This window comes from Homo sapiens, chromosome 7 (assembly GCF_000001405.40).
Source record: "Homo sapiens chromosome 7, GRCh38.p14 Primary Assembly".
Taxonomy (NCBI): domain Eukaryota; kingdom Metazoa; phylum Chordata; class Mammalia; order Primates; family Hominidae; genus Homo; species Homo sapiens.
In genome coordinates, this window is record NC_000007.14 from 32,915,542 (window position 1) to 32,943,400 (window position 27,859).

At 44.2% G+C, this 27,859-nt stretch overlaps 1 pseudogene across 1 annotated transcript, besides 3 other annotated features; it reads right to left on the minus strand.

Annotated features, from left to right (window-relative positions):
- Positions 1-1,273: 1,273 nt before the first annotated feature.
- RP9P (RP9 pseudogene) lies at positions 1,274-27,667 on the minus strand (annotated as a pseudogene). Its single transcript, NR_003500.2, has 6 exons — positions 27,329-27,667; positions 18,273-18,355; positions 14,537-14,567; positions 5,798-5,889; positions 2,770-2,831; positions 1,274-2,001 (listed from the first exon to the last, which is right to left on the minus strand). The product of NR_003500.2 is annotated as an RP9 pseudogene (transcript).
- Positions 25,483-26,371: an enhancer, noted in NCBI's record as "OCT4-NANOG-H3K4me1 hESC enhancer chr7:32980636-32981524 (GRCh37/hg19 assembly coordinates)". NCBI's record gives its function as "activates a minimal SCP1, AML or CMV promoter by ChIP-STARR-seq in naive H9 embryonic stem cells {active_cell/tissue: H9 hESC(naive)}" and the evidence as "EXISTENCE:reporter gene assay evidence [ECO:0000049][PMID:30033119]".
- Positions 27,021-27,180: a silencer, noted in NCBI's record as "silent region_18082". NCBI's record gives its function as "represses an Ori minimal core promoter by ATAC-STARR-seq in GM12878 lymphoblastoid cells {active_cell/tissue: GM12878}" and the evidence as "EXISTENCE:reporter gene assay evidence [ECO:0000049][PMID:35858748]".
- Positions 27,371-27,780: a silencer, noted in NCBI's record as "silent region_18083". NCBI's record gives its function as "represses an Ori minimal core promoter by ATAC-STARR-seq in GM12878 lymphoblastoid cells {active_cell/tissue: GM12878}" and the evidence as "EXISTENCE:reporter gene assay evidence [ECO:0000049][PMID:35858748]".

Consider the following 27,859-nt stretch of genomic DNA (forward strand, 5'->3'; position numbering starts at 1 on the left):
ACACTTCTGGTTTGCTAGTGGGCTTTTTGAGCTCAGTTCTCATTTGAGTTTGGAGATGGATTTGTAGGGGCTCTGGGATTTTTCCCCTGTAGTCTGTCTATAGGAGCAAAGCGGAAGATTTTGATTGATGCTTCTTTGGGGAAAGCTGGACAAAAGGATCACAGATCAGGGGAGATGACAGGCCAAAGTGATGTTCCTTGGAATCTAGGCTAGAAACAGAGGAGAAAAAAACAGAGTGAGGGAAAAGGGACGATTCACTTTGCAAGGGCTACAGGGGTGGACGGCTGGATTCCAGTTAAAGCAGGAAGTGGAAGAAGGCTTCAGTAAGAGGGTAGAGATCTAGAGCCCAGGTTCTCCAAGTGGGGTCCCCAAATCAACAGTGTCAGCATCATTTGTTAGCAAGGCAGATTCCCAGGTTCACCTCAGACCTAGGGAATGGAAAATTCTGGAAGTTGGTGAGTCGAGCACAGGAATCTGCATCTTAAGCATGCTAGTTGATTTGGATGTCTTGGAGGTTTGAGAATCATTGATGCAGCATCTTTTGTGTTGTATAAGAATGCTTTTATCATGAATGGGATTGCAGAGGGACAGTAGCCAATTCCTGGAAGAAGAGGACCGGCTGTACCTGGGTAAGAAATGCTGAGCATATGGCAGAGGACAGATGGCCTGTGTTCTGCATGACAAGGATAAGTGTAAGGCAAGGCTGAATCCACTGGCCTTACAGTTTTCAGAAATAGTTAAGTCCTGGCCATTCCAATCTCAACCGATTGTTTTCCTGAGGTGGTATTCCGAGGCCAAGAACAGGAGCATTGACTGATGAGACTTGAAGAAGGGTCAGTCTGGGCCTGGCTTGGCTGTTCCTTAAAAAGGAGGGAATCCAAACCCCAGGAAAAGTGGCAGAAAATGGGAGTGAGTTTCTGGGACCCTGACTGAGTGCCTAAAGCAGCAAGAGACCAGTGCTAGCCACAGAGGGACACACTTGCCTATGAGCAAGATCCGCTTCACTTTGGCGCAGCAAAGGATAGACTTCCTCTCCTCCAGCTGCAGACACACCCTGGCCTCCTGAGATGCCTCTACTGTGGCCTAGTTTCAGCTACAAGAGCACAGGTGGGCTGTGGTCAGGCAACAGGAAGAGGAAGAAAGGGAGGGATGGATTTTGGGATGTGGATACCTGACCTAGTACACAAATCCCCCTATATTCCTAAACCTTTTCTGAGTCAGTCACTCTGTGAAAATCATGGGACTCTGGCAGTAGAAAGCAAGTGAAGTAGAATGCAGCCACAGAAGATTTTTTATTGTTGTTTTAAGAACTCCCTAGCCCCCAAATCAACAAATCATGTCAGGTAAATATAAATATTTTAGCCAACCAGTGGCTCTCGCCTGTAATCCCAATGCTTTGGGAGGCCAAGGTGGAAGGATCACATGAGGCCAAGTGTTCAAGTCTACACTGTGGAGGGCACAAGCTGTGGGAGGGCCTGGAAGACACGCCTCAGAGATTCTCCCAGTCCTGCCACCCTGTGGGAGACACTTCTAAGGAATCGTAAACTCATGTGACCAGCAGGGAGGACAACGATGAAGAAACTTTCCTGCCTAAAATCAGCTGCTGTCCAGAGCTAGCACCTGGAAGGAGACACTCCCTCTCCTGGGGTCACATCTTCACTGCAAGGCGGGTGGGAGCTCACTGCTGTGACCCACATATACTCCTCTCTCGGCGTCTCTATCCTGCTACTTTCTCTGACTGCATCTTCCTCTGTTCCTTGGTCAGTGTTTGAGAAGAGAATGTTGAACAAGTCACATCCTTGTCACTCTGAGTCAGAACCCTCATTTGACTTGGAAGATTTGTGCTTCCGTTTTTTCTTCTTTTTCTTTTCTTTCTTCCTTTTCTTATGCTTTTCTTTCTTCTTCTTTTTCTTGTGTTTCTCTTTACCTTCAGAGGAACTGGAGCTGCTCCTATCTTCACCTGAGGTAGAATCCTCCAGTAACTGTTTTAACTGCTGTATCCTAAACATTCAAAATTGATCAAAGAACAGTCAGTTTTAGCTTTAACTTACAACAGTTGCTTAGATAAATATGTCATTCAAAAGCAATATGGAAGGATCATGAATAACCACATCACAAAGACAGTACTTATTTTTATTTTTACCTGTTTTCTCCATTCTTCTTCACCTGAATGCCTATGTTTATGTGACTGTAACCAGTGTACAAACCATTTTTGTATTCTTTTCCTTGTCCTAGTCATTTCTGTAGGTTCCCACAGTACTTACAATTATAAATTCTAACAGACGCATACTTTACTAAACCATTCCCCAACTGCTCAATTTCCTAATAGATAATCTACACCCTCAACAATTATAATTTAATGTAACCAGTTTGAAAAAACAAACTCTCCTGATTATTCACTCTCTAATCTTGTCTAGGTATAATCTTTAACAAAAGCTGAGATCCTTAAGACGTTAGAGGAGATAAACTGAATTACCTTGCATGGTACCAATTGTACCATGCAAGTAAATAGCACAACATGGGTGGCTAATATCAACTGCAGTGGTCAGAGAACTGGACCAAGCCTACAGCTTTAAGCTAACCCAAGGAGGAGGAGGCTGGCCTGCTGATTCCCCAACACTGGTCTTGTCAGCCATGACTCCTACCCAATAAATATTTCACAATTGAAGTGCCATGTTTACTATATCACTCTCCTAGTGCTAGAAGGTTTTTTTCCAACTTTATATAAGTTAAAACTTTAAATAGATACTATCACCAGGACAACCTCACCTTACATTCTTTTCATGTTGTTTATTGTCTCGTATGATGTCATACATGAAATCCTCATGTGCCTTAAGGGACAGAGAAGGTTAAGGTTTGGTTAGGCTTCATGGACCGTTAGTTAAATAAAATTAAACCCCTATGTTACAGAAAACAGTTTTTTTTTCTTTTACTGTTTGATGTAGCCACACGCTCAACATGTTTTAATCCTTTTAAGGGTCATATCACTGATAACTCATTAAGGCTATAAAAATAATTTCCCAATGAGAAAATACACGAAATAATATTCTTCATGAGGAAATAACTGCATAAACTGGAAGAGTCGTACTATAAAACAGTACTCAAGTTTAGAAATACCGAGGTAATTCTCTTTGTTCTATTGGGTTAGACCAAAAGATAGTATTAAGCAAAATAAATGAGTTGCAAAATGATACATAGGAATGATCATTTATAAGTACTCAAAAATACGTGTTACATACCCCAAGGAAGTCTGGAAATATACACATCAAGCTATTTGCTGCAAACCCACTCTCAGGAGGGAGGCAAGATTGGACTTGGTGGTAAAAGCCTGACTATGAGGTCTTCATTTTGCTTAATAAGGCAAATAAACTGTATTCTTGTATTCTATAACTGAAAGTGACTTAAAATTCACAATTATGGGCCGGGCACGGTGGCTCACACCTGTAATCCCAGCACTTTGGGAGGCCGAGGCAGGTGGATGACGAGGTCAGCAGTTCGAGACCAGCCTGACCAACATGGTGAAACCCCGTCTCTACTAAAAACACAAAAATTAGCCAGGTGTGGTGGTGGGCACCTATAATCCCTGCTACTTGGGAGGCTGAGGCAGGAGAATTGCTTGAAACCAAAAGGCGGATGCTGCAGTGAGCCGAGAGCACACCACTGCACTCTAGCCTGGGCAACAAGAGAGAAACTCTGTCTCAAAATAAAATAAAATAAAATAAAAAATCATAATTATGAACATTATGCTTATAGAGTTGTATAAATTGATGTTCTGTTATATCCTTAGGGTAAATTTTTAGAAGTTGAATTTCTAAGTCAAAAAGAAGTACATTAAATTTTTGAGATTTATCAACAAGTTTTGTTTTATACTATCTGTAAAAACTGACATTTCACCTAAAAGTGCTTGATCTAGAATAATTATTTTTCAGATTAAGACAAAAACACAAAACTTTAAACGCCTTAAAATGTTAAAAGAATGTCTGTTGACTTCAGTTTCATATATAGCTGGCCCTTGTATCCTGAAGAGTTACATGTCCACAGATTCAACCAAGGATTGAAAATATTTGAAAAAAAAAAAAAAGGATGGTTGTGTCTGTATTACACATGTTCAGACTCTTTTTTCTTATCATTATTCCCTAAACAATACAGTTTAACAACAATTTACTTTTTATTCAGTATTATAGGTAATCTAGAGACGATTAAAATATATAGGAGTATGTCCACAGCTTATATGCTATTCTACTTTCTTTTATTTGACAAAATCTCACTCTGCCACCCAGGCTGGAGTGCAGTGGCATGATCTTGGCTCACTGCAACCTCCACCTCTCAGGTTCAAGCGATTCTCATGCCTCAGCCTCTCAAGTAGCTGGGATTACAGGCATGTGCTACCATGCCTGGCTAATTTTTGTATTTTTATTTTTTTGAGACAGAGTCACACTCTGTTGCCTAGGCTGCAGTGCAGTGGCATGATCTCAGCTCACTGCAACCTCCACCTCCTGGATTCAAGTGATTCTCCTGCCTCAGCCATCCAAGTAGCTGGGATTACAGGTGCCCACCACCACGCCTGGCTAATTTTTGTATTTTTAGTAGAGACGGGGTTTCACCATGTTGGCTAGGCTGGTCTTGAACTCCTGACCTCAGGTGATCTGCCCACCTCAGACTCCCAAAGTGCTGAGATTACAGGCGTGAGCCACCGTGCCCAGCCTAATTTTTGTATATTTAGTAGAGCTGGGGTTTCACCATGTTGGCCAGGCTAGTCTCAAACTCCTGACCTCAGGTGATCCACCTGCCTAGGCCTCCTAAACTGCTGGGATTACAGGCGTTGAGCCACTGCACCCAGCCTATACCATTTTATATGAGGGACTTTGAGCACCTGTGGATTTTGGTATCCCAGGGGATACTGGGATCCAATTCCCCATGGATACCAAGGGACAAGTGTATGCTGATCACTTCAGTAGATCCACAAGGCAGCATATTTCACTTGGCAGTAGTTACTGAACAGTGAATTAACACCTCTGGGAGGTGACTCTATGTTAAAGCGGGGAATGATAGATAGATGATGCTAATGATAGATCTGTCTAACTGTCATTTAAGAGGAAATATACACAATTCTAGCTTATAATAGACAGACATCTACTCTTTAAAGGCTGGAAAACTAGGCCAGGCGCAGTGGCTCACGCCTGTAATCCCAGCACTTTGGGAGGCCGAGGCGGGTGGATCACGAGGTCAGGAGATCGAGACCATGGTGAAATCCCATCTCTACTAAAAATACAAAAAATTAGCTGGGCATGGTGGCGGGTGCCTGTAGTCTCAGCTACTTGGGAGGCTGAGGCAGGAGAATGGCGTGAACCTGGAAGGTGGAGTTTGCAGTGAGCAAAGATGGCACCACTGCACTCCAGCCTGGGTGACAGAGCGAGACTCTGTCTCAAAAAAAAAAAAAAAAAAAAAAAAAAAGACTGGGAAACTAAAACTCTGATTTTAGTTATGAGACATGACTTTTTATATAATAAATTTTAAAAAGGGGAGTTGAATAGGGAACAATGTCTTCTTCAGAAAAAGAATCACTGTCCCAATGTATAAGCAAAGAACACGTTTATAAATGTTAGTTTTTTTCTTAAAGAGCTAAATTTGTCTTACAAATGCAATTTAACAGAGGTATAGTTAACAGCAGACGCTTTGGCCAAAAGGCTTCTGGGAATGTAATTTATGTGAACATTCAGTTCGCTGGTGACTATCGGATTAATTAATATTCACCATCTCTGATTAAGGTAAAATGACATTGTATGGTTTTACTTACTACTCTGAACTGTTGTAACTTTTGGTTGTCTTTGATAAAGAAAGGGCATTCTTTGTAGCCTGTTCGGTGACCATACCATTTGCAATGCCAACCTAAAAGCAAAGAAAAGGGGAAATATTTCTGTAAGATAAGAGTGTTTCACCTTAGTGAGATAAAGAATCAGTAGATTATATTAAAGTTTTTATTCATTAAACTCCAATTCTAAAAGAAAATGCAATCATGGATGAACCGTGTAAGGTCCCAGAAAAGACAGGTAAACTAATTGCTTACCCAAGCATCCTTTAATCTTGTGCTTTAGGAATTAATTTTCCAACACCAAGAAATTATGAAGCAATCCAATGAAAAGTACTGCAAAAGGTCAATTTTTTTAGTGTGTCTCGCTGTATTTTTCAAAGTAAATATCTTCTATTAATCAAGTGGCTCTGAATCTCATTTATAAATTTAGTCACTAGAACAAATACCTTCTTTCTCAGGTTGAGTCGACATCTGTTCACATCCCTCACTTTTAAGTAAACAAAATCACAAGTTCTTTTAAAATATTAATGCCATCAGAACCCTACTGCAACTTTACTTTCAGAAGAGGGAAACTGTGCTATTTAAAGAGGTTAACTATTAGAAGCAACAGAAGGTCCTGATGAGGAACTGGGAGGAGAATAACAAGAGAATGTATATACATGCTCCAAGGCAACAAATTCCAGTCTTTATGGAATTTCAGTGAGTGGACCTGGCATCAGGCATTGACCTCTGAGAAAAAGGAAGTGGTGAGTGAAGCAAGAATGGATGAGATCCTTGTTACTTCTCTCGCCTGTTCATATCCTCTCAGCACCATCTGGATGTGGTGTAAATCAGGAAACTGTATGGGAATGGTGAATGAGACCCTGTGTTTGAGTATTAAGCAATTCTAAGCAACTAGGTCGGGAAGTATGAAGAGGGATTTAGGTAAGTTCAGCCAAGTTTGCTCTATGCTGGCAACTACAGAAAATACGTAGTGACAGGGCAAGAAAGTTTTTCTCTTTTTATTTTTATTTGAGGATTGAATGCAGGAAACCACTGAAAAAAATTAAGTTTGTGGGTTTTTTTTTTTTTTTTGAGACGAGTCTCGCTCTGTTGCCCAGGCTGGAGTGTAGTGGCGCGATCTCGGCTCACTGCAACCTCCGCCTCCTGGGTTCAAGCAATTCTTCTGCCTCAGCCTCCCAAGTGGCTGGGATTACAGATGCATGCCACCAAACCCAGCTAATTTTTTATATTTTTGGTAGAGACGGTTTCGTCATGTTGGCCAGGCTGGTTTTGAACTCCTGACCTCGTGATCAGCCCACCTCAGCCTTCCAAAGTGTTGGGATTACAGGTGTGAGCCACTGTGCCTGGCCTAAGTTTGTGGATTTCTATTGATTGCCTGTGAGCTATCCCTATCCTTATCTCCCTCACCATTTAAAGTTTGGGGGAGAAGGACTACACTCTTTCAAACTAATATGTGCCTTTATGGCAAAGCTGAAGGGATGTGAAATGCCATGGAACAAGCATTGATGTATAGATATCCAGAAGATACCATTTCCGCTCAAAATCCTCTTATTATGGAAAGGTGATCCCAGATATTCAAAGTGTGGTCCATGGACCAGCAAATTCAACAATATGAGCAAGGTTGTTAGAAAAGCAAGGTATAGGACCCAACCCAGAAATATTGAATATCTAGTATTCAGTATTTTGGATATTCAAATACTGGATATTCAGTATTTCTGGGTTGGGCCTGATATGGACATATAACCTGAATTTTAAAAGATTTACTGGTTATTTGTAGAAATATCAAAGTGGGAGAACCACTTTTCTAATTAATACTAAAATTGGTAAAATCAAAACCATGTGCATAGGTTTGTAATTACCTTAACAGTAATTATATTACATGCAAATGGATTAAACACTTCAATCAAAAGGCAGAGATTTATAGAATGGATAAAAATGTTATCCGCCAGGTGCAGTGGCTCATGCCTGTAATCCTAACACTTTGGGAGGCCAAGGCAGGAGGACTGCTTGAGCCCAGGAGTTTGAGAATAGCCTAGGCAACAAGGTGAGATCCCGTCTGTACAAAAAATTTTTAAAAATTAGCCAGGCATGGTGGCAAGCACCTGTGGTTCCAGCTACTCAGAAGGCTGAGGTGGGAGGATTGCTTGAGCCTGGGAGGTCTAGGCTGCAGTGTGCTGTGATTGTGCCACTGCACTCCACCCTGGGCAGCAGAGAGGCCCTGTCTCAAAAAAAAAAAAAAAAAAAAAAAAAGGAAAAATGCTATCCAAGCACTAGATATAAGTGACACACTGTAGATTTAAAGACCCAATTAGGTTGGCAGTAAAAGGATGGAAAGGAATATATGATGCAAACAGTAACCCAAAGGGAACTAAAGCTGCTCCGATAATTTCAGACAAAATACACCCTAAGACAAAAACTGTTACCAGAGACAAAGAAGGATATTTTGTATTGATAAAAAGGTCAATCCATCAAGAAGATACAACATTTATAAATATGTATGTAACCTAGCAAAAGAGTGCCAGATAGTTGAGACACAAACTGATAGAATTGAAGGGGAAAATAGAACGGTGTAACAATAATAGAGATTTCAATACTCCTCATTCAATAATGGATAAAACAACTAGAGAGAAGATCAGCAATGAATTACAAGACTTAAACAACAATATAAATCAATTGAACCTAACAGTTACTTATAAAACACTCTACCACCCAACAATAAACACTTTTTGAAGTCAATATGGAACATTATCCAGAGACCCTATATTAGGCCATAAAACAAGAATTAATATAATTAAAAGGATTTAAACCATACAAAGTATATTCTCTAACTAGGATGGACTCAAATTACAAAGCAACAATATAAGGAAATTTGAAGAATCCAGTATGTAGAAACTGAATAACACATGCGTAACCAATCCATGAGTCAAAGGGGATGTCAGAAAATTAAAACACAGCAGGCCATCGCGGTGGCTTACACCTGTAATCCCAGCACTTTGGGAGGCCGAGGCGGGCGGATCACCTGAGGCTGGAAGTTCGAGACCAGACTGACCAACATGAAGAAACCCCGCCTCTACTAAAAATACAAAATTAGCCAGGCATAGTGGCGCATGCCTGTAATCCCAGCTACTTGGGAAGACTGAGGCAGGAGAATCGCTTGAACCTGGGAGGCGGAGGTCGCGGTGAGCCAAGATCATGCCATTGTACTCCAGCCTGGGCAACAAGAGCGAAACTCCATCTCAAAAAAAAAAAAAAAAGAAAGAAAATTAAAACACAACATATCAAAATTTACACAATGCCGATAAAATAGTGGTTAAAAGAAAATTTATAGCTTCCAATTCTTATAATAGAAGAAAGGTCTTAATCAATAATCTAGGTTTTTATCATAAAAATCAGGAAAAAGAAGAGTAACCCAGACCAAAGATAAGCAGAAGAAGGAAATAATAAATGATGCCATTGCAGGACCTCAAAAACATGCTAAACGAAAAGAGTCAGATCACTTATATATGTCCAGAAAAGCCAAATTCACTAAGAGAGTAGACTAATCGTTGCCTAGGGCATCAATGGGGATGAACTGGAAATGGGTTGAGAGATCTTAAGGAGGGGATGAAAATGTTCTAACACTTATTTATGATGATGGTTGCACACACTTGGTAGTTACTAAAAATCACTGCATTATACATTTATTTGAGGGTGATTTTGAGTGATCCAAAATAAACCACAAAAATCCTTTTTTAAAAAGCCATAAACACAGAAGGACTGGGAAACCATAAAAGAGTCACATATGAAAAAACGTGGGATGTTATAATGCAGATAGATGAATACTAAAAGAATAGCAGATCCTAGAAAACTGAAGTCTAAGGCAGCAGAGGGTAGAATCTGAGAACCGACTCAGTTTCTACTTGCAGAACCTCCAAAGCTCAGCAATTGGCAGCACCAGATACTTCTGGAGGTGAAGGGGCAGTTAAAATCAGGAGGATTGGTTAAATGTCCATAGGCAATTCTCCTTAGTCTGGGCAGAAGTTTGTTTAGCATGTGGAAAAGGTATAACAGAGGTTCTCTGGCCACGGAGACATCAGGTGGGTCTTAAGGAAGTTGCCGCAACAGACATAGAGGATCATACGAATGAATGGAAAACCAATGACAGATTTCCCAGACTCCCTCCACTCAGCTCCCAGAACACTCACAGCATGGCTTTCCCTTCCACGTGGGAGCCTTCTCTGGGAAAATACAAGCCACCCAAAGAAGAAAAATCAATAGATAACTGAACTCAGATGTTCCCCAACCAACTACCTAGAAAATCACCCTGCAGTGGGGGATCAACAAGCCCTACTCAGGCACTCAGGGCTACCAATCAACTTTTCATCTTTCACTAAAAAACAAGAATACTGTGGCAGCCACTCTCTAAAATGACCCTAATTAATAATCGCTGATCCCTAAAAAGAACACTTTTGTGTAGTCCCTGCTACCCTGAATAGGGCTAAACTGGTGTAAGCTAGGATAGTGCCTATCTGAAGAATAGAACTGCAGACACAGAGGTGAGAAAAGAATTTTTAAAATTCTTAAAATTGAGAGACCTGCATTCCAGATTGAAAGGGCTCACCACCGTGAAATTTTAGAACACCAGGAATGAGAAGATGCTATAAACTTCCACAGAAGAAAAATAAAAAACAAAGCAATGATAAAAGGCCTTATGAAAAGATCAAAAATTGGAATTACTTTGGACTTCCCAATAGCTATTCTAGAAAATCAAGAAAATGAAGCAATGCCTTCAAAATCTAAAGGAAACTTTTAACTTAGAATGTGATATCCTAGCAAATTAAAAAACATAAAATGAAAATTCTAGGGGCCGGGCATGGTGACTCATGCCTGTAATCCCAGCACTTTGGGAGGCTGAGGTGGGTGGATTGCTTGAGCCCAGGAGTTTGAGACCAGCCTGGGCAACATGGCAAAACCCTCTTTCTACAAAAAATACAAAAATTAGCTGGGTGCGGTGGTGCACACCGGTAGCCCAGCTACTCAGGAGGCTGAGACAGGAGAATTGCTTGAACCCAGGAGGCAGAGGTTGCAGTGAGCTGAGATCGCGCCATTGCACTCCAGCCTAGGCAACAACACTGAAATTCTGTCTCAAAAAAAGAAAAAAAAATCAGCCAGGCGTGGTGGCGCATGCCTGTAGTCCCAGCTACGTGGGAGGCTGAGAAATGGGATGATCACTTGAGCCTAGGAGGTCGAGGCTGCAGTGAACCAAGATGGTACCACTGCACTCCAGGCTGGGCAACAGAGCAAGACCCTGTCTCAAAAAAAAAAAAAATTCTACCTCCTATAAACCCATTTGGAAGGAAATTGCCCTAGGATTCATTACACCATAAGAACAGAATATAGTAACAAAGAACACTCCAGATATAGGAAAATGGGTGATCCAACACAGGAGAGAGGCTAAAGGAACCTGCAGAATGATGGTGTCTTAGTCAACTTGGGCTAACGTAACAATGCTGTGTGCCAGGTGGCCTAAACAACAGAAATTGATTTTCTCAGCTCTGGAGGGTTGGAATCTGAGCTCAGGGTCCCAGCAAGGTAGGTCTGTGGTGAGAGCTTTCTTCTTAACTTGAGATGGCAGCCCTCTTACTTTGTCTTCACATGGCACAAGGGGGTAGGGATAGGACAGGAGAGAGCAAGAGTGAGAGCGAGAATGTATGTATGAGCCTGGGCCTACACAAGAGAGAGTGATCTCTAGAATTTCTTCTTTGAAAGGGCACCAATCATATCATGAGGGCCCTAACCTCATGATCTCATTTAACCTTAATTAATTCACAAGGCCCCATCTCCAAATGTCATCACATTAGAGATGAGGGCTTCATCATTCGAATTATGGGGAGACCCAAACATTCAGTCCATCATATATTGGTAAAGGGAGATGCCTGGATGATACGCATGGGAGTAGCCACCTTCAGTAAGATGAAATGGACAGAACATCTCAAGTATATACATTGAAGGTCTTAAGTTTGAAGCTTGGAAAAATGTTGAGGTTGAATTACAGATCAGTACATGGAAAGCAAAAACAATAATAATAATAACAAAAACTCAAAAACAATAAAAACAGGACACATTTTGAGCGGACACATTTTGCAAGATACAGCTCACCTCTGGTCATAATCATAGTAAATACCAAAGACTTATTTAACTAAGTTTATGATATAATAATTACTGGGAAAATGAGATATAAAAGGGTACACATGTGTGGTGAGAGCAGGAGAGAGAACTACATACTCATCTTCCACTGTACAGAGGCATCAGAAAATGACCAAACTTGAAAAATCATGGAGCAACAATGCAACTATGGGGTTAAGATGTGGAGATAAACATCAAAACAACCAACTAAAAAAGCTTGACTCTTTGGAAGATTGATTTTTTTTTTTTTTTTTTTTTTTGAGACAGAGTCTTACTCTGTCGCCAGGCTGGAGTGCAGTGGCGTGATCTCAGCTCACTGCAACCTCCGACTCCCTGGTTCAAGCGATTCTCCTGCCTCAGCCTCCCGAGTACCTGGGATTACAGGCATGCGCCACCACACCCAGCTAATTTTTGTATTTTTAGTAGAGACGAGGTTTCACCATGTTGGCCAGGATGGTCTCGATCTCCTCACCTCATGATCCACCGCCTCGGCCTCCCAATGGAAGAGTAATTTCGTACGCTCTCGAATGTGTTAACTGCAACGGAGGGGCAGGGCATGCGCACAGAGAGTTCCACCTGTGTAGACCCATCCTCCCATGGTAGCTTCTCTCCGTTACATGGACAAAGCACCACTGATAGAGAGTGCCCAACAGAGGCAAGACCCAAAAAGACCCGTTCTCTAATGCATCCCTCACTCCCATGGCATTTCCTTTCTATTACTTTCTTTACTTCCTATTACTTTCCAGAAAGTCCTTTCTATTACAGGAGTAACACCGAAGAGTGTACTCCCAAGGCAGTGACAGTCCTGAGCAAAGAATGCTGGACTTGGAATCAGGAACCCTAGAGTCAAAGCTTTGCTCTACGTCTTCCCTGGGACCACTTACTGACATACACACATCTGTTTCCTCATCTAGAAGACAGAGAACATGCCTTGGCTCTAAGAGGGCTGTGGTGAGAACAAGTTAAATAAAAGAAGTAAACGCGCTTTGTAAGTTGCGGCATGTAAGTTGCATGGATTAGGGGAACTCTCCCACATTCACACTGCATAACTCTGACTTCTTTCCCCAGTGGCAACCAAAGTCCTTTAGTTGGTGCATGAGCCAGAAATTCTCTGGCGTATTCATTGCCTGGTATATCTGGTATGCTATCTTCTGGCTTAGCCTCATCTTCCTAAACAAAGGGAACAAGGTGCAAATAGCATGGCAAGATAGCGCTGGGATTCTCTCCTGCTTCCCTAGGAGTCACCCTCACCTGGCTTTTTCCTGGTCTGTGGGTGCCAAGGTCATCTTAATTACCCCTCAAAACTAGAAAGAAAGACAGTTACACTTGATCGAAAAAAAAGGAAACAAATGTACCAGAAGAACTATACCAAAAACAATGTAGCTGTTCTTAGAGAAAAGTTACTGGTGAAGCAGAAAAATCTGTCCTTATATAGCAATGACTGGTGAGCTCCAAATTTTGATGTAAATTAGATTCTAAGGTTTTTTAAAAAAAGGTTTCACTACCTCAAAATGTAGAATGAAGCAAGATGTATGAATTAAAGTAAACCAGGCTTCCTGGAATAATAGAAATGGCATATTATGCTACAATAGCTTATTATACCCTGAAGGCCCCTATCATGTTTTACAGTCGCATGCATGCTGTAATTTTTTCAAGTTTCCATGAATATTAAATTTCAATAGAAAGATGGTTTTTAAGAATCTTTTTTTTTTTTTCTTTGAGACAGTCTTGCTCTGTCATCCAGGCTGGAGTGCAGTGGTGCAATGTCAGCCCATTGCAACCTCCACCTCCCAGGTTCAAGAGATTCTCCTGCCTTGGCTTCCTGAGTAGCTGGGATTACAGATGTGCACCACCACGTCCAGCTAATTTTTTTGTATGTGTGTATTTTTAATAGAGACAGTGTTTTGCCATGTTGCCCAGGCTGATTTCGAACTCCTGACCTCAGGTGGTCCACCTGCCTCAGCCTCCCAAAGTGCTGGGATTTTAGGCATGTGCCACTGCGCTTGGCGAAGAATCTTTCTCCATTGACAGTTACGAAACAGCAAGTTTTCTTGGCCGTGGCCTGCCACTCTAAGTCTCCCTCGTGCGCACACACCCTGGTGCCGTAGCCAGGAGCTGCAGGAAGGATGCCTCCACCGGGGAGCTGGACTGGATGAGCTGTCGGGTCTCCTCGGAGTTGACTGCTCTCTGAGCTGCTGATACTCAAGAAACCAACACAGGATGGACTGAGGGACTGAGCCAAGTAAGGCTGACAAGAAAAGGAGGCAGCTGAGCTTAAAGATGCCGTTCCCCAGTCAGAGAGAAGGGGGCCACGGCCAAGGAACCCATGTGGGCCTGCACTGGTTCCTCAGGGAAGGGAAACATGGCTGATGAAATTTCCACAAAGGCAGAGGCTTGTGACAACACTAAAAATTATGACCCCTCAGTCATCTGCAGGAAAGAAACAGGCTTTTCATAAAAGGGCATTTAAATGTCATGCAACCATTTTTCATAATGCATTACTGAGTCTGTAAGTATGTCTAGTGGGATAACCAAGAGTACAAACTTCACACTAACCTTGATAAGCCCAGGAGGAGGTTTTTCATAACTGGAAAACAAAAAACAAAACCATCAACCATTTTAATGGGAACGTAACATACTTTTATGAACAAAAGACAGCAGCCAGGTCAGAATAAAAAGGAGATTCTTAGAGAAAATTCAAAACTACATTTTAGTATATTATATCTAAAACAGTTAATAAAATATGCTCAGCATTCCAGATCACATATAAACTGATGAGATAACACATCCTGCAGAGATCCAGAAATTATGTTCATTGAAATAACTAATGTCTCTCAGCACAATGATCTTATTTGGAGGAGAAAGGAAAGCAAGAGGTTGCAGGGAGAGCATGAGGTGAGAAGACAGTGGGTCCTCTGGTTCCAAAACATCACTGTGTTTTTCTCAGGTTACTGACCTAGCATAACATCCATGTACTCAACACTGAACAGGCTCCTGGGGGAAAAGAGTGCAATCTGTTCCAACACAGTGTGGGGGCACAGCGGAGGATGCACAGAGCTGCGTGGACAGGCCCGTCCCAGAGGCACCCTCACCCATGGGCCTGCAACGCCAGCTCCAATTCCACCCGCCCGCCCGCCTGCCTGCCAGGTTTACAGATGTTGAGGCCAGGACACAGCACCCCAAAAATGACTGCACAGCACCAGAATATGCCACCCTAAAATATGCTTCATTGGCATATTAATTATTTCAAGCTGATTACTTTGAGAAACTGCAGACAAGGAGTAGCCCTGAAGAGCTGCCATTTTGTAAGAGAAATTTACATCGATTATATAAAGCAAATTTACATTAGTAATAAAGGAGTTTGTATCAGGAAAGGAGCTGCTCCCAGACAAATTTTATTACATGAAAGACTTTTATCTACATAAAAAGGCAAACTTTATTCACCATATGTTTCCTCCCCCATCCTCCCATAATTTATTTCTACCCCTCCCCCAAGAAGCCCCAATCCCCTGTTCCTTTCTGCAGCTGAGGATGCTATATAAGGTTCCTCTGGTGCTTCTTTGAGTCTCATACTTTTGTGGGACTCCCATACATAGAGATATAATTAAGATTTTTTTCCTCCTGTTAATCCATCTTATGTTCATTTAATTCATAGCCTACCCAAAGAATTTAGAAGGGTGTAGGGAAGCCATTTTTCCTTCCCCCGCACAGACAGGTATTACCTGGGAAGAGCAGAACGCTTCTCCTCCCTGTGCTAGGTGGCACCTGCCACCAAAGATGGGCCAGGACTTCCTTATTTCCATCCAGGGACTGAACCCGAGGGAGACCCAGAATGCTGAGCACGCAAAGTCTGTATCTGGGACAGGCGGCGAGATGCGAAGGAAATTCTGCAGGTGAGGTGTTCGTGCACTCAAAGAGCAACTCGGGCTCTTAGAGGGATTCACACCTCCCCCAAAAAAGTAAGACAAATATTTGTAGCTCAGATCTGTGCCTTAACCCTCTAAACCTACAAGGAAGTACTCATTTTAATACTTCAGAATGGCTGCAAAGTATAGGAATGCTTAATGATTTAATGTTCTCTTCATCCTGAACCATTCCTTATGAACTGATTTTAGAGACCCTTTTGGAACACAGTAAATACTGGAGGAGGGAGGGATTAAGGGGAACAGACTAAGGAGAAAGTGAAATGCTTTCCCTTCCATTCGCCTCCAAGGTGTCAGAGAAAAGGACTTTGCCAGAGTACAGATGAGAAATGGCACAGGTCGCTACAGCAAGAAAGATTTCCCTTTGGCTTCATCTGTGGACACTGTCAAAGGACTCCTCTCACCCTCACTATCACTGATCCATGGAATAGGAGAACCTACTCCACAAAGATTACATAGTAAACAACTGGGTAGTAGCGGAGTTAGCTTTTTAGGTATGATACAGTGCTTTTCCAAAGTAAATACTTAAAATATCTTCTAATGGAAAGCTGTGGTGTGTCATAAGCAAGAATAATGGTAAGATGATACAGACCTCCTGCAGCCATCCTTTAGAGGTGTTAATACTATGCCTTGGCCGCTCACGCCTGTCATCCCAACACTTTGAGAAGCTGAGGCAAGAGGATCACTTGAGGCTAGGAGTTTGCCATCAGCCTCGGCAACATAGCAAGACCTCATCTCTACAAAATAAAAAATTAAAAAAGGCTGGGTGCGGTGGTTTATGTCTGTAATCCCAGCACTTTGGGAGGCCGAGACGGGCGGATCACGAGGTCAGGAGATCGAGACCATCCTGGCTAACACGGTGAAAACACGTCTCTACTAAAAATCCAAAAAAATTAGCCGGACACAGTGGCAGACGCCTGTAGTTCCAGCTACTCAGGAGGCTGAAGCAGGAGAATGGTGTGAACCCGGGAGGCAGAGCTTGCAGTGAGCCAAGATTGCACCACTGCACTCCAGCCTGGGCAACAGAGCGAGACTCTGTCTCAAAAAATAACAAATAAACAATTAAATAAAAATTAAAAAATATTATGCCTTATGCACAGAGGCCTAAGAGAGTTTGGAAGGGAGGTGGTAAAGTCTATGAAAATATCCAATAATCCAACAAATAATTATTTTTGCCACAGGAGCTGAACAAACAACATATGGCCAAACTAAGTTCCAAATTCCTGAAAAATATGTAACTATATTGCCTAGATGGAAAAGGAATGTGATAGAACTGCACATTCTGAATTCTATTATTATTTGCAATGGCATTTCCTAAATAGTCCATTTTACAAGAGTTCCCACCAGTTTAAGGGGGGGGGGGCGCTGATGCTTTTTTCCCTGGGGCTAAACAATTCATTAGTTTATGTAGCATGTTAAGATATTTCCAAAGTTTAAAATAATATTCAGCCAGGCATGGTGGCTCACACCTGTAATCCCAGCACTTTGGGAGGCTGAGGTGGGTGGATGACTTGAGGTCAGGAGTTCAAGATCAGCCTGGCCAACATGGGGAAACCCCATCTCTACTAAAAATACAAAAATTAGCTGGGTATGGTGGTGCACACCTGTAGTCCCAGCTACTCGGGAGGCTGAGGCAGGAGAATCGCTTGAAGCCAGGAGATGGAGGTTGCAGTGAGCTGAGGTCACACCACTGCATTCCAGCCTGGGCGACAGAGCGAGACCATCTCAAAAAAAAAAAAAAAAAAAAAAAAAAAAAAGCAAATGAATAAAACTCAGGCTCTTATTAACTACTTTAAAAATACAAAATAAATCATAGGTCACTATTTGATGCAAAAGTGAATGATATTGCAAAGTAATACTTATGTTAATATTAACTACTAATTTAGCAAAAATTATTATAATATGACTACATAGGAAGGAAGGAGACAAGGGTAGTAAAACAACTAAAATCTTACCTACTCTGTCCTCAGTTGAATAGCTGTAGGAGACCAGAATATGCTACCTCAAAGCACACCTTTTTGGCTAAGGATCATTTTGAGAAACAGCAGACACAGGGGAAGCTCTGAAAAGAGAGCCGAAGTCACCCTTTTGTAAGACAAATGTTCATCTATAAAGGGAATCTCCATTTCAGGTGAGACCCTTTTTTTTTTTTTTTTGAGATGCGGTCTTTCTCTGTCACCCAGGCTGGAGTGCAGTGGCTTGATCTCTGCTCACTGCAACCTCTGCCTCCCGGTTCAAGCGATTCTCCTGCCTCAGCCTCTTGAGTAGCTGGGATTACAGGTGCGCACTATCACGCCCGGATAATTTTTTTTGTTTTTAGTAGAGACGGGGTTTCAACATGTTGCTCAGGCTGGTCTCGAACTACTGACCTCGTGATCTGTCCACCGCGGCCTCTCAAAGTGCTGGGATTACAGGCGTGAGCCACCGCTCCTGGCCACAGGTGAGACCCTTTCTATATAAGAAAGAGAAAAATGTCTCTCAATCACAAGAGAATGCTAACAACGGGGAAAGCACAGACACAAACCTGCATAACAAACCTTACCTTTATTTATCATACTTTTCTTGGTCACTATCCCATAGCTCAGTTCCCCCATATCTTTCTTTCTTTGATTTAGCTGAACATGGTATTTAAGCCTGAATCCAAAACCACTTCTTCAAGATTTTTCATTCCACTGGGTATCTCCCATGTATATAGAACATATACATGGTAATAAACTTCTGCTTGTTTTTTTCTGTTTGTTTGTTGGAGAGAGAGTTTCGCCCTCATTTCCAGGCTGGAGTGCAATTCACCGCAACCTCCACCTCCCGGGTTCAAGCGATTCTCCTGCCACAGCCTCCCGAGTAGCTGGAACTACAGGCGCACGCCACCACGCCTGGTTAATTTTTGTATTTTTGGTAGAGACGCGGTTTCACCATGTTGGCCAGGATGGTCTCGATCTCTTGACCTAGTGATCTGCCCACCTCGGCCTCCCAAACTGCTGGGATTACAGGCGTGAGCCACTGCGCTCAGCCTTTTTTTTTTTTTTTAAGATAGAGTTTCACTCTTGTTGTCCAGGCTAGGGTACAACGGCACAATCTTAGCTCAACGCAACCTCCGCCTCCCGAGTTCAAGCGATTCTCCTGCCTCAGCCTCCTGAGTAGCTGGGATTATAGGCATGTGCCACCAGGCCCGGCTAATTTTGTATTTTTAGTAGAGACAGGGTTTCTCCATGTTGGTCAGGCTGGTCTCAAACTTCTGACCTCAGGTGATCCGCCCGCCTCAGCCTCCCAAAGTGCTGGGAGTACAGGCGTGAGCCACTGTGCCTGGCAATGCTTGTTTTTTTTTTATTATTAATCTTCTGTTACAGGGGCCCTGGACCTTAGAAGAGTGGAAGGAAAAAAACTTTCCCCTTAAATAGATAATGTCCATTACGGAATCAAAAAAGGCAATATAAGGCTGGGCATGGGGGCTCATGCCTATAATCCTAGCACTTGGGAGGCCAGGGTGGGAGGAATCCTTAAGTCCAAAACCAGCCTGGGCAACACAGCTAGACCCTCTTTCTAAAAAACGAGGAAGGAAGGGAGGAAGGGAGGGAGGAAGGGAGGGAGGGAGGGAGACAGTGAGGGAAAGAAAGGCAAGAAACATGATTTTAAAATAAACAGTTACAGCCTTGCGCAGTGGCTCACACCTGTAATCCCAGCACTTTGGGAGGCCAAGGCGGGTGGATCACAAGGTCAGGAGATCAAGACCATCCTGGCTAACACGGTGAAACCCCATCTCTACTAAAAATACAAAAAATTAGCTGGGCATGGTGATGGGTGCCTGTAGTCCCAGCTGCTCGGGAGGCTGAGGCAGGAGAATGGCATGAACCTGGGAGGCGGAGATTGCAGTGAGCCGAAATGGCGCCACTGCACTGCAGCCTGGGCGACAGAGCTAGACTCCGTCTCAAAAAAAAAAAAAATAGTAATAATAATAAAATAAAATAAGCAGTTATGTCCCAGATGAAAAAACTAAGTTTCCTCACAGAAGTCTTGATAGGGGAGAGGGGTGCAGAGAATATATAGGGTAACTGGAGTCTCAAACCACTATTTTTTTAAATTAGCCTTTTCTTATGAGTTCACTTGAGTCAAGAAAAAAAAAGCCTTTGGTACTATTTGATTAAACAGTTTAAATTACATGAAGTATTACTCTGGAATGAATAACATTTGATTTAAAAGCAAACAAGTCTCTGAACTAGCCAAAGGAAACATATTGACAGTCCAGTCAGTTGCAAATCTCTGAAACTAGAAAACCCCAGTGCTCTGAGAATCTTAGCCCATATTATGCTGATATAACGGAATACCTGAGACTGGGCAATTTACAAGGAATGGAGATGTATTTCTTATAGTTCTGGAGGCTAGAAAGTCCAAGGTCAAGGGGCTAGCATCTGGCAGGGGATTTCTTTGCTTCATCATCCCATAGCAGAAGGCAGAAGAGCAAGAGAGAGCATGGGTGGTGATGGACAGCAAATTCATGTTTTTATCAGAAACCCACTCCAGCAATAACTAATCCACTCCTAACAGCGCCTATCCACTTATAAGGGCAGAGCCGGCTGGGTGCGGGGGCTCACACCTGTAATCCCACGACTTTGGGAGGCCGAGGCGGGTGGCTCATGAGGTCAAGAGATGGAGACCATCCTGGCCAACATGGTGAAACCCTGTCTCTACTAAAAATACAAAAATTAGCTGGGCGTGGTGGTGTGCGCCTGTAGTCCCAGCCACTTGGGAGGCTGAGGCAGGAGAATTGCTTGAACCTGGGAGGCGGAAGTTGCAGTGAGCCGAGGTCACACCACTGCACTCCAGTCTGGCGACAGAGTGAGACTCCGTCTCAAAAAACAAACAAAAAGGGCAGAGCCCTCCTGACATAATCACATCTTAAAAGTCCTCTCTCTCAACACTGTTACATTGGGTATTAAGTTTCAATAAATGAACTTTTTGAGACAAGAGTTTCACTGTGTTGCCCACTCTGAAGTGCAGGCCTGATCACAGTTCATTGCAGCCTCAACCTCTCAGGCTTAAGTGATCCTTCTACCTCAGCCTACAGAGTAGCTGGGACTACAGGTGCACATTACCATACCCAGCTAATCTTTATTTTTATTGTAGAGATGGGTTCTCAATATGTTGGCCAGGCTGGCTGGTCTCAAACTCCTGGGCTCAAGCAATCCACCCACCCAGTCCTCTCAAAGTGCTGGGATTACAGGCATGAGCCACTATGCCCAGCTCTCCAATACATCAACTTCGAGGACACATTCAAACCATGGCAGAAGTAAACATCTGGTTTTGCTAGTTTATAGGTCTATATTACTTAGCTGGTGAGGTTCCATTTTATCATTTGCAAAAGCAGGTTATAATCTCTCTGCTGTCTAGGAGCTACAAAATAAACACATGGTATTAACCACTGTGTGGCATCCTACAGCTAAATATACTGAGTGTTGGGCAGGGCCAGGCCCTGCCTGCAGTTATGCTAGAGAAAGATCTTTAAACATCTGTCTTCCATGGGAGAACAAGAGCACCACCCGGTTACTTGAAAAGGCCGAAATGCCCAGTAATGTGGATGCCCACAATGCAGGGTCTCCAACCTGCAACCACTGCCCTGTTAAGGTGAAAAGTCATTCAGCTCTTGGGCCACCAAAAAGTAGGCCAGACTCCACCAAAAAACTGCATTTTGTATGCAATCTCCCAGAAGTCTGATTATGAAGGATTTTAACTCCTTGAGGACCTTTCCTTACATGACCCACATAGCATAGGTAACAAAAAGTGCCTGTGACAGAAACAAACTGTTGACTGAGTGAACATCACACTATGTCAACCCCCCAAAAAGAAAAACGAAGGCAAAATTAATGTCAGTAGAGTTCATTTGAGCCAAATTTGAGGACTGCAAGCTGGGAGTATCTATTTAAGTTGCCCGGAATATACACTCCTGGGTTGCAGTCCTCAAACTTGGCCCAAAATAAACTCTATACTTATATTAATTTAGCTTCAGTTTTTTCCTTTGGGTCAACATATCTGGCATAGTTGGCAGAATAGGTCCCTCCCTCCACCACTGCCCAGTGTTTCTCTCTGAAAGCGGCACTTGGTACCAACATGAACTCCTATCTCTGACTTTCCTAAGGTCAGGGGATCAGGATTTTTATCTGCCAACACATGGGTCTTAAGTCGCCAATTTACTTTGGTTTGGGGCCAAGGTCTTGTTGCATTGTGACCTTTCATTATGGAAACTGTGCTTGTTTCACCCTGGACCAACCTCTCTTGGAGTCCCTTTTCCTAATTTATGAGAATGAATACTTCCCTCCGAAGATTAAAGGCACTCACTCCCTCTGGCCCATTAGGGAACTCTAAATAATCAGAGACTTGGCGAGGTGCCAGGACTTTGTCCATAACATTCAGTGGCCTTACAGGGTTTCCTCTGTGAGAACATCTGTACCCTCTCACCCTGCCAGTGAGTGTGCATAAAGGCTGGTCATCTTGCATTTGTGAGTCCTCTGTGACCTTCAGGGGATTCAGCGTTTCTGAGACACATAAGAGAGGAGACCTGACTTACTGGTGACACACCGAAGTGATACACTCACAAGCGGCACATTTAGGCCCAAAACACTGCTCAGAGTCATGAATGATTCAGGTCTCTAAATTATGGGTAACAAATCATCCGGGTCTGAGGACTCCCCAAGGAGGCACCCTCCCTCGGAGACACCAGCTGGTTTTATGTGCAATACCTGCTGAGTTTCATCTTATAAGTATTTGCACACATTGGCCCACATGACTCGAGAGGACCCCAAATTATGATGGCCAATATAGGGGTCCTTTGAAAGGCCTAAAGTAATTCAATTTTCTGCACAATTGGGAAAAGCTGGGTTTAGAACCAGACAAATTAAATGGGAAATCTCCTTTCTGTTTGCCCTGGCTGAAATCTGCTCATGAGAGATATAAAAAAATTTTTTTAAAGAGCTGTGTGGTCGGCCGGGCGCAGTGGCTCACGCCTGTAATCCCAGCACTTTCGGAGGCTGAGTTGGGTGGATCATGAGGTCAGAAGTTCGAGACTAGCCTGACCAACATGGTGAAACCCCATCTCTACCAAAGATACAAAAATTAGTCAGCTGTGGTGGCGCACGCCTGTAATCCCAGCTACTCTGGAGGCTGAGGCAGGAGAATCACTTGAACCTGGGAGGTGGAGGTTGCAGTGAGCCAAAATCATGCCACTGCACTCCAGCCTGGGTGACAGAGTGAGACTCCATCTCAAAAAAAAAAAAAAAAAAAAAAAAAAAGCTCTGTGGTCAGAGTCAGCTGCTTAATTAAAGGCTGACATTCAGGCTATAATTTTTTTTTTTTTTTTTTTTGAGAACTAAAAAAGGCCCTTCTGCTTTTTCTCTTTTCGATCTTATTCCTGATAATATTTTTCAGTCGACTGAAACCCCTTTTAAAAAAATGTTGGAGGCCACTGTTTGCTTCCTACCTTGTTGGCATTATTTTGGTTGAGAAAAATGTAAAACTTCATTGGCCTTTTAGAAAGCTTAAAATCTCCCAAACTGGCCCCTCTAATACTTAACTCTTCCATTTCCTTCCACTTCTGCTCCTTCTCCCTTTTGCCATCTTGAACACATAGGAGACTTCTGGCACTCCTGAGACCCCTTGAGTACACGGAAAAAGGGGCCATGCCCACCCTTTTTTGGGGTCTTCAGTCTTTCTCATGGAATCTAAGAGTCATGAGTAGGCTTCTCTCAGGTCTGTGGCTCTGCTCTATTTTGCACGGAGTTTCTGGATCTCTGGCTTTTGGAGTATGAGGTATTACTTTGTATTGTGGTGGAGAACTTGACATTTTCATGTGTGATGGCTGGCAAGTCACTGGCAAAAGCTGCAGTTTTGGAAGTGGCTGACAGCTGTTGCAGTGAATGGTCACTACTGAAGGAGGCAACTTGTTTCTTTGCCTGTTTAGATTTAAAAGGTGTGCTTTGAACACTTGAAGACTCCTGTGGGAGAGAGGCTGACTGCAGAGTGGACTGATGGAGTCAGGTCGCCCACCAGCCTCTGTGAAATGTCCTTGTATTGAGGAAAACTGTGGAAAGAATTCACACTGGTTCAGTCGTATTTCCCTCTTCTTGGGGACCTGGGATTCAATGTAAAAGTAGAATCCTTAAATTTTAAAGATCTGAATGTTCTGCCTTTCAGCTGTGCCTGCTTTTCACATATTTAAATATTAGGCCCTGAAAACTGCAACTTCTTTCACTGTCCTATTCATTAAGAGGCTCCATCCTGAAGTCAGAAATCTCATTAAGAAACAATCGATCTGGCTCACGCCTGTAATCCCAGCACTTTGGAAGGCCGAGACAGGCAGATCACTTGAGTATGGGAGTTCGAGACCAGCCTGAACAACATGGCGAAACCCTCTCTCTACTAAAAATACAAAAATTAGCTGGGTGTGGTAGCAGGTGCCTGTAATCTCAGCTACTCCAGCTACTCAAGAGGCTGAGGCACGAGAATCTCTTTTTTTTTTTTTTTTTTTTTTTTTTTTTTTTTTTTGAGACGGAGTCTCGCTTTGTCACCCAGGCTGGAGTGCAGTGGCACCATCTCGGCTCACTGCAAGCTCCGCCTCCCGGGTTCATGCCATTCTCCTGCCTCAGCCTCCCGAGCAGCTGGGACTACAGGTGTCCGCCACCACGCCCGGCTAATTTTTTGTATTTTTAGTAGAGACGAGATTTCACCACGTTAGCCAGGATGGTCTCAATCTCCTGACCTCGTGATCCGCCGGCCTCGGCCTCCCAAAGTGCTGGGTTTACAGGCGTGAGCCACCGCGCCCGGCAGAGAACCTCTTGAACCCGGGAAGCAGAAGTTGCAGTGAGCTGAGATAGCGCCACTGCACTCCAGCCTGGGCAAAAGAGGGAGACTCTGCCTCAAAAAAAAAGAAGAACAAGAAGAAGAAGAAGAAACAATCTATCAAACTAAATCAGTTGACAAAATGCAACTTCCTGACATTTAGCTGGCTACTTTGAAACTCTGTTTAAAAAAAAAAAAAATAGTCTTGCTCTGTCGCCCAGGCTGGAGTGCAGTGGCAGGATCTCGACTCAACACAACCTCCGCCTCCAGGTTCAAGCGATTCTCGTGCCTCAGCCTATTCAGTAGCTGGGATTACAGGCGTGCGCCACCAAGCCTGTCTAATTTTTATATTTTTAGTAGAGACAGGGTTTTGTCATGTTGGCCAGGCTGGTCTCCAGCTCCCGATCTCAAGTGATCTGCCCACCTCAGCCTCCCAAAGTGCTGGGATTAAGGGCGTGAGCCAAAGGCGCCCAGCCTGAAACTCTTTATAAAAGAAATCTACCGCCGGGCACTGTGGCTCAAGCCTGTAATCCCAGCACTTTGGGAGGCCAAGGCGGGTGGATCACCTGAGGTCACGAGTTCGAGGTCAGCCTGGCCAACACGGTGAAACCCCATCTCTACTAAAAATACAAAAAAAAAAAAAATTAGCTGGGTGTGGTGGCACACACCTGTAACCCCAGCTACTTGGGAGGCTGAGGCAGGAGAATCATTTGCACCTGGGAGGTGGAGGTTGCAGTGAGTCGAGATCGTGTCAATACACTCCAGCCTGGGTGACCGAGGGAAACTCCGTCTCAGAAAAGAAAAAAATAAAAAAAAGAAAGAAAGAAAAAAAAAAAAAGAAAAAAAACCTCCTTTTGTAAGGGCATCTCCCTCGGTGGACCTAAACCACTAGAAAATTTCAGGATGGGGAAGACATTGGTTTAAAGTTTACATAACAAACGGTACGGTACCTCTGTTTAAAATACTTTTCCTGGTAATTTTAACCAGTTTGTAACCTATGCCTTTCTTTGTCTCAGCAAATAATTCTGTTTAGGTACAAGTTCTGTGTCTTTTAGATGTAAATTTTTTACTTTGTTTCATCTAATAGTCTTTTGAAAGTGCAAGCTTAGGGTTGCCTAGCTACTAATTACTTAGGGTAGTGGAAAAGATAATCAAGAGACTGATCCTCTAAAGTGGACGATCACTAAGTGGAGGATCACTAAGTAGACGATCTAACTGGATGATCACTTCAGACGATCATCTGAAGTGGGCATAGACTATTAGAAAACTGGCTAATGAAGAATCTTATAAAAGATCTGCTTCTGTTTGTCTGTATGCCTATGTTTATATGTGTTACAGGCATGTGACATTTCATTACCAAAATACATGAAAAAGCTCAAATTAATTGGCATCAAAATATGCCACCCTGACATACTGATGACTCTGAGCTAAAAGAAACAGAACCAGCCAACACAGGAAAACTTCACCTCGCCGGCAACTGCTCCCCTTTTGTAAAGAGAAATTTACATCTTTAAAGGAAATTTCCATGAGTAAACGTATCTGTATCAGAAAGAGAGCTGCCTGGAGACAGCTTTTATCACCTGGGAGCCTAACAAAGCAACCTTTATTCATCATACATTTTGACCCTTCCATAATTTGTCTCCACCACGCCCCAAAAGGCCCATGCTCCTATTCCCTGGCCCTTCTTTCAGTCTCCCACTTTTGTGGCCCTCCAGTGCATGGGTATGTAAAAATAGTTTTTCTCTTGTTAATCTGTCTTATGACAATTTAATCTGTGGCCCAGCTAAAGAACCTAGAAGCGTAGGGGGAAGCCATATCTCCCTCCCCCACCTTTGAATCTTCTTTACACCACACTCTCCCGGGTCATCTGGACCCTCCTTGAACTGGAGCCACGGGAGCGCAAGGCCTCCCAAGTCAGGGCCCGAATTCCGCGTGGTGCCAAACGGCAGCTGGCTCCCTGAATGCCCACCCTGAACCCTGGTAAAAAATAAAAAAAACAACAACAAAATTCCCTCCAACCCGGAGAAAACAAGTCCGCCTCTGTTCTACCTAGCAGCGCCGTGGCCAGTCCCCGCCGCCCATTCTCTCTTCTTCCGGGCCTCGCCACACCAACACTGCAGGACCCGTGTCCTCGTCCCTTCTCCGTAGCAGAGGATGAAAAGAACGGGGTTTCTCCATGTCGCAGTGGCCCAGGGAACTCAGAGGTGGAGCGCGGGGGCAGCGTGCTCGGTTGAACTTGCCTGTTCGGTCCACAAATGCCGAGCAAGCGCCAATAACTCTTGGCTTCCCCAAAAGAGGCGACGCCCACACCAAAGCGGGGGCGAGGAGCGCAAGCCGCTGCCGCCTCCCCGGGCCGAGGCCCCCGCCCACCCGCGCCGCGGCCTCCAGGGCCCCTCCGTGGCCGGGCGGGCCTCGCTCCCCACCCAGTGAGGACTAGAAGTCCCGTCGCAGGCACTAGGTTCCTCACAGGCCCGCACCCCTGCCTGGGTCCTGGGGGCTTGGAGGACCCAGCCCAGCGCCCAACACGGCGCCGGGCGCCCCTGTTCCCAGAAAACGGGCGGCGCGCGGACTGCGGCCCAGACGGCTGCTCGAGACTCACAAGGACTCCAGGCGCTTGAGCTGCTGCAGCTGCTGGGCGTCGTGCCGCCGCCGCTTCTGCTCCCGGGCCCGCTGCAGTTCCTGATCCAGCGGCTCCCGCGGCCACCACGCGCCCCCAGCCCTCGCATCCTCGCGCCCCGGCCAGGACGACATCGCGGCACCTGCGGCGCGGCTCTGGCTGCGGCCAAGAGGGCACTTCCTCCGTGCGGCGCCCCTTCCCGCCGCCGCCCCGCGACTCGCCCGGGAGGGGCCCCGAAGTCCCGGCCTCGGCCGCCAGATGCCCGCCTGCCCGCGGCCGGCCCCAAGTCAGTGCGCAGAGCCCCAGAGCCCAGCCGCCGGTGGGCGGGGAGCGCCCGCTGGCGGCGGCTGGAGCCGAGGCGGGGCGGGGCCCTGGTTGGGAGCCTGGGGAAGCTTCCAGGAGCTTCAGGGTTCCCGCCAGGCCACACTCATCTCCCTGCCCCTTTGAGGTTCCCGACCGAGGCAAGGGGTCTTGTGCAAGTCAGGTTTGTAGATCCCTAGTGACCAGACCCAC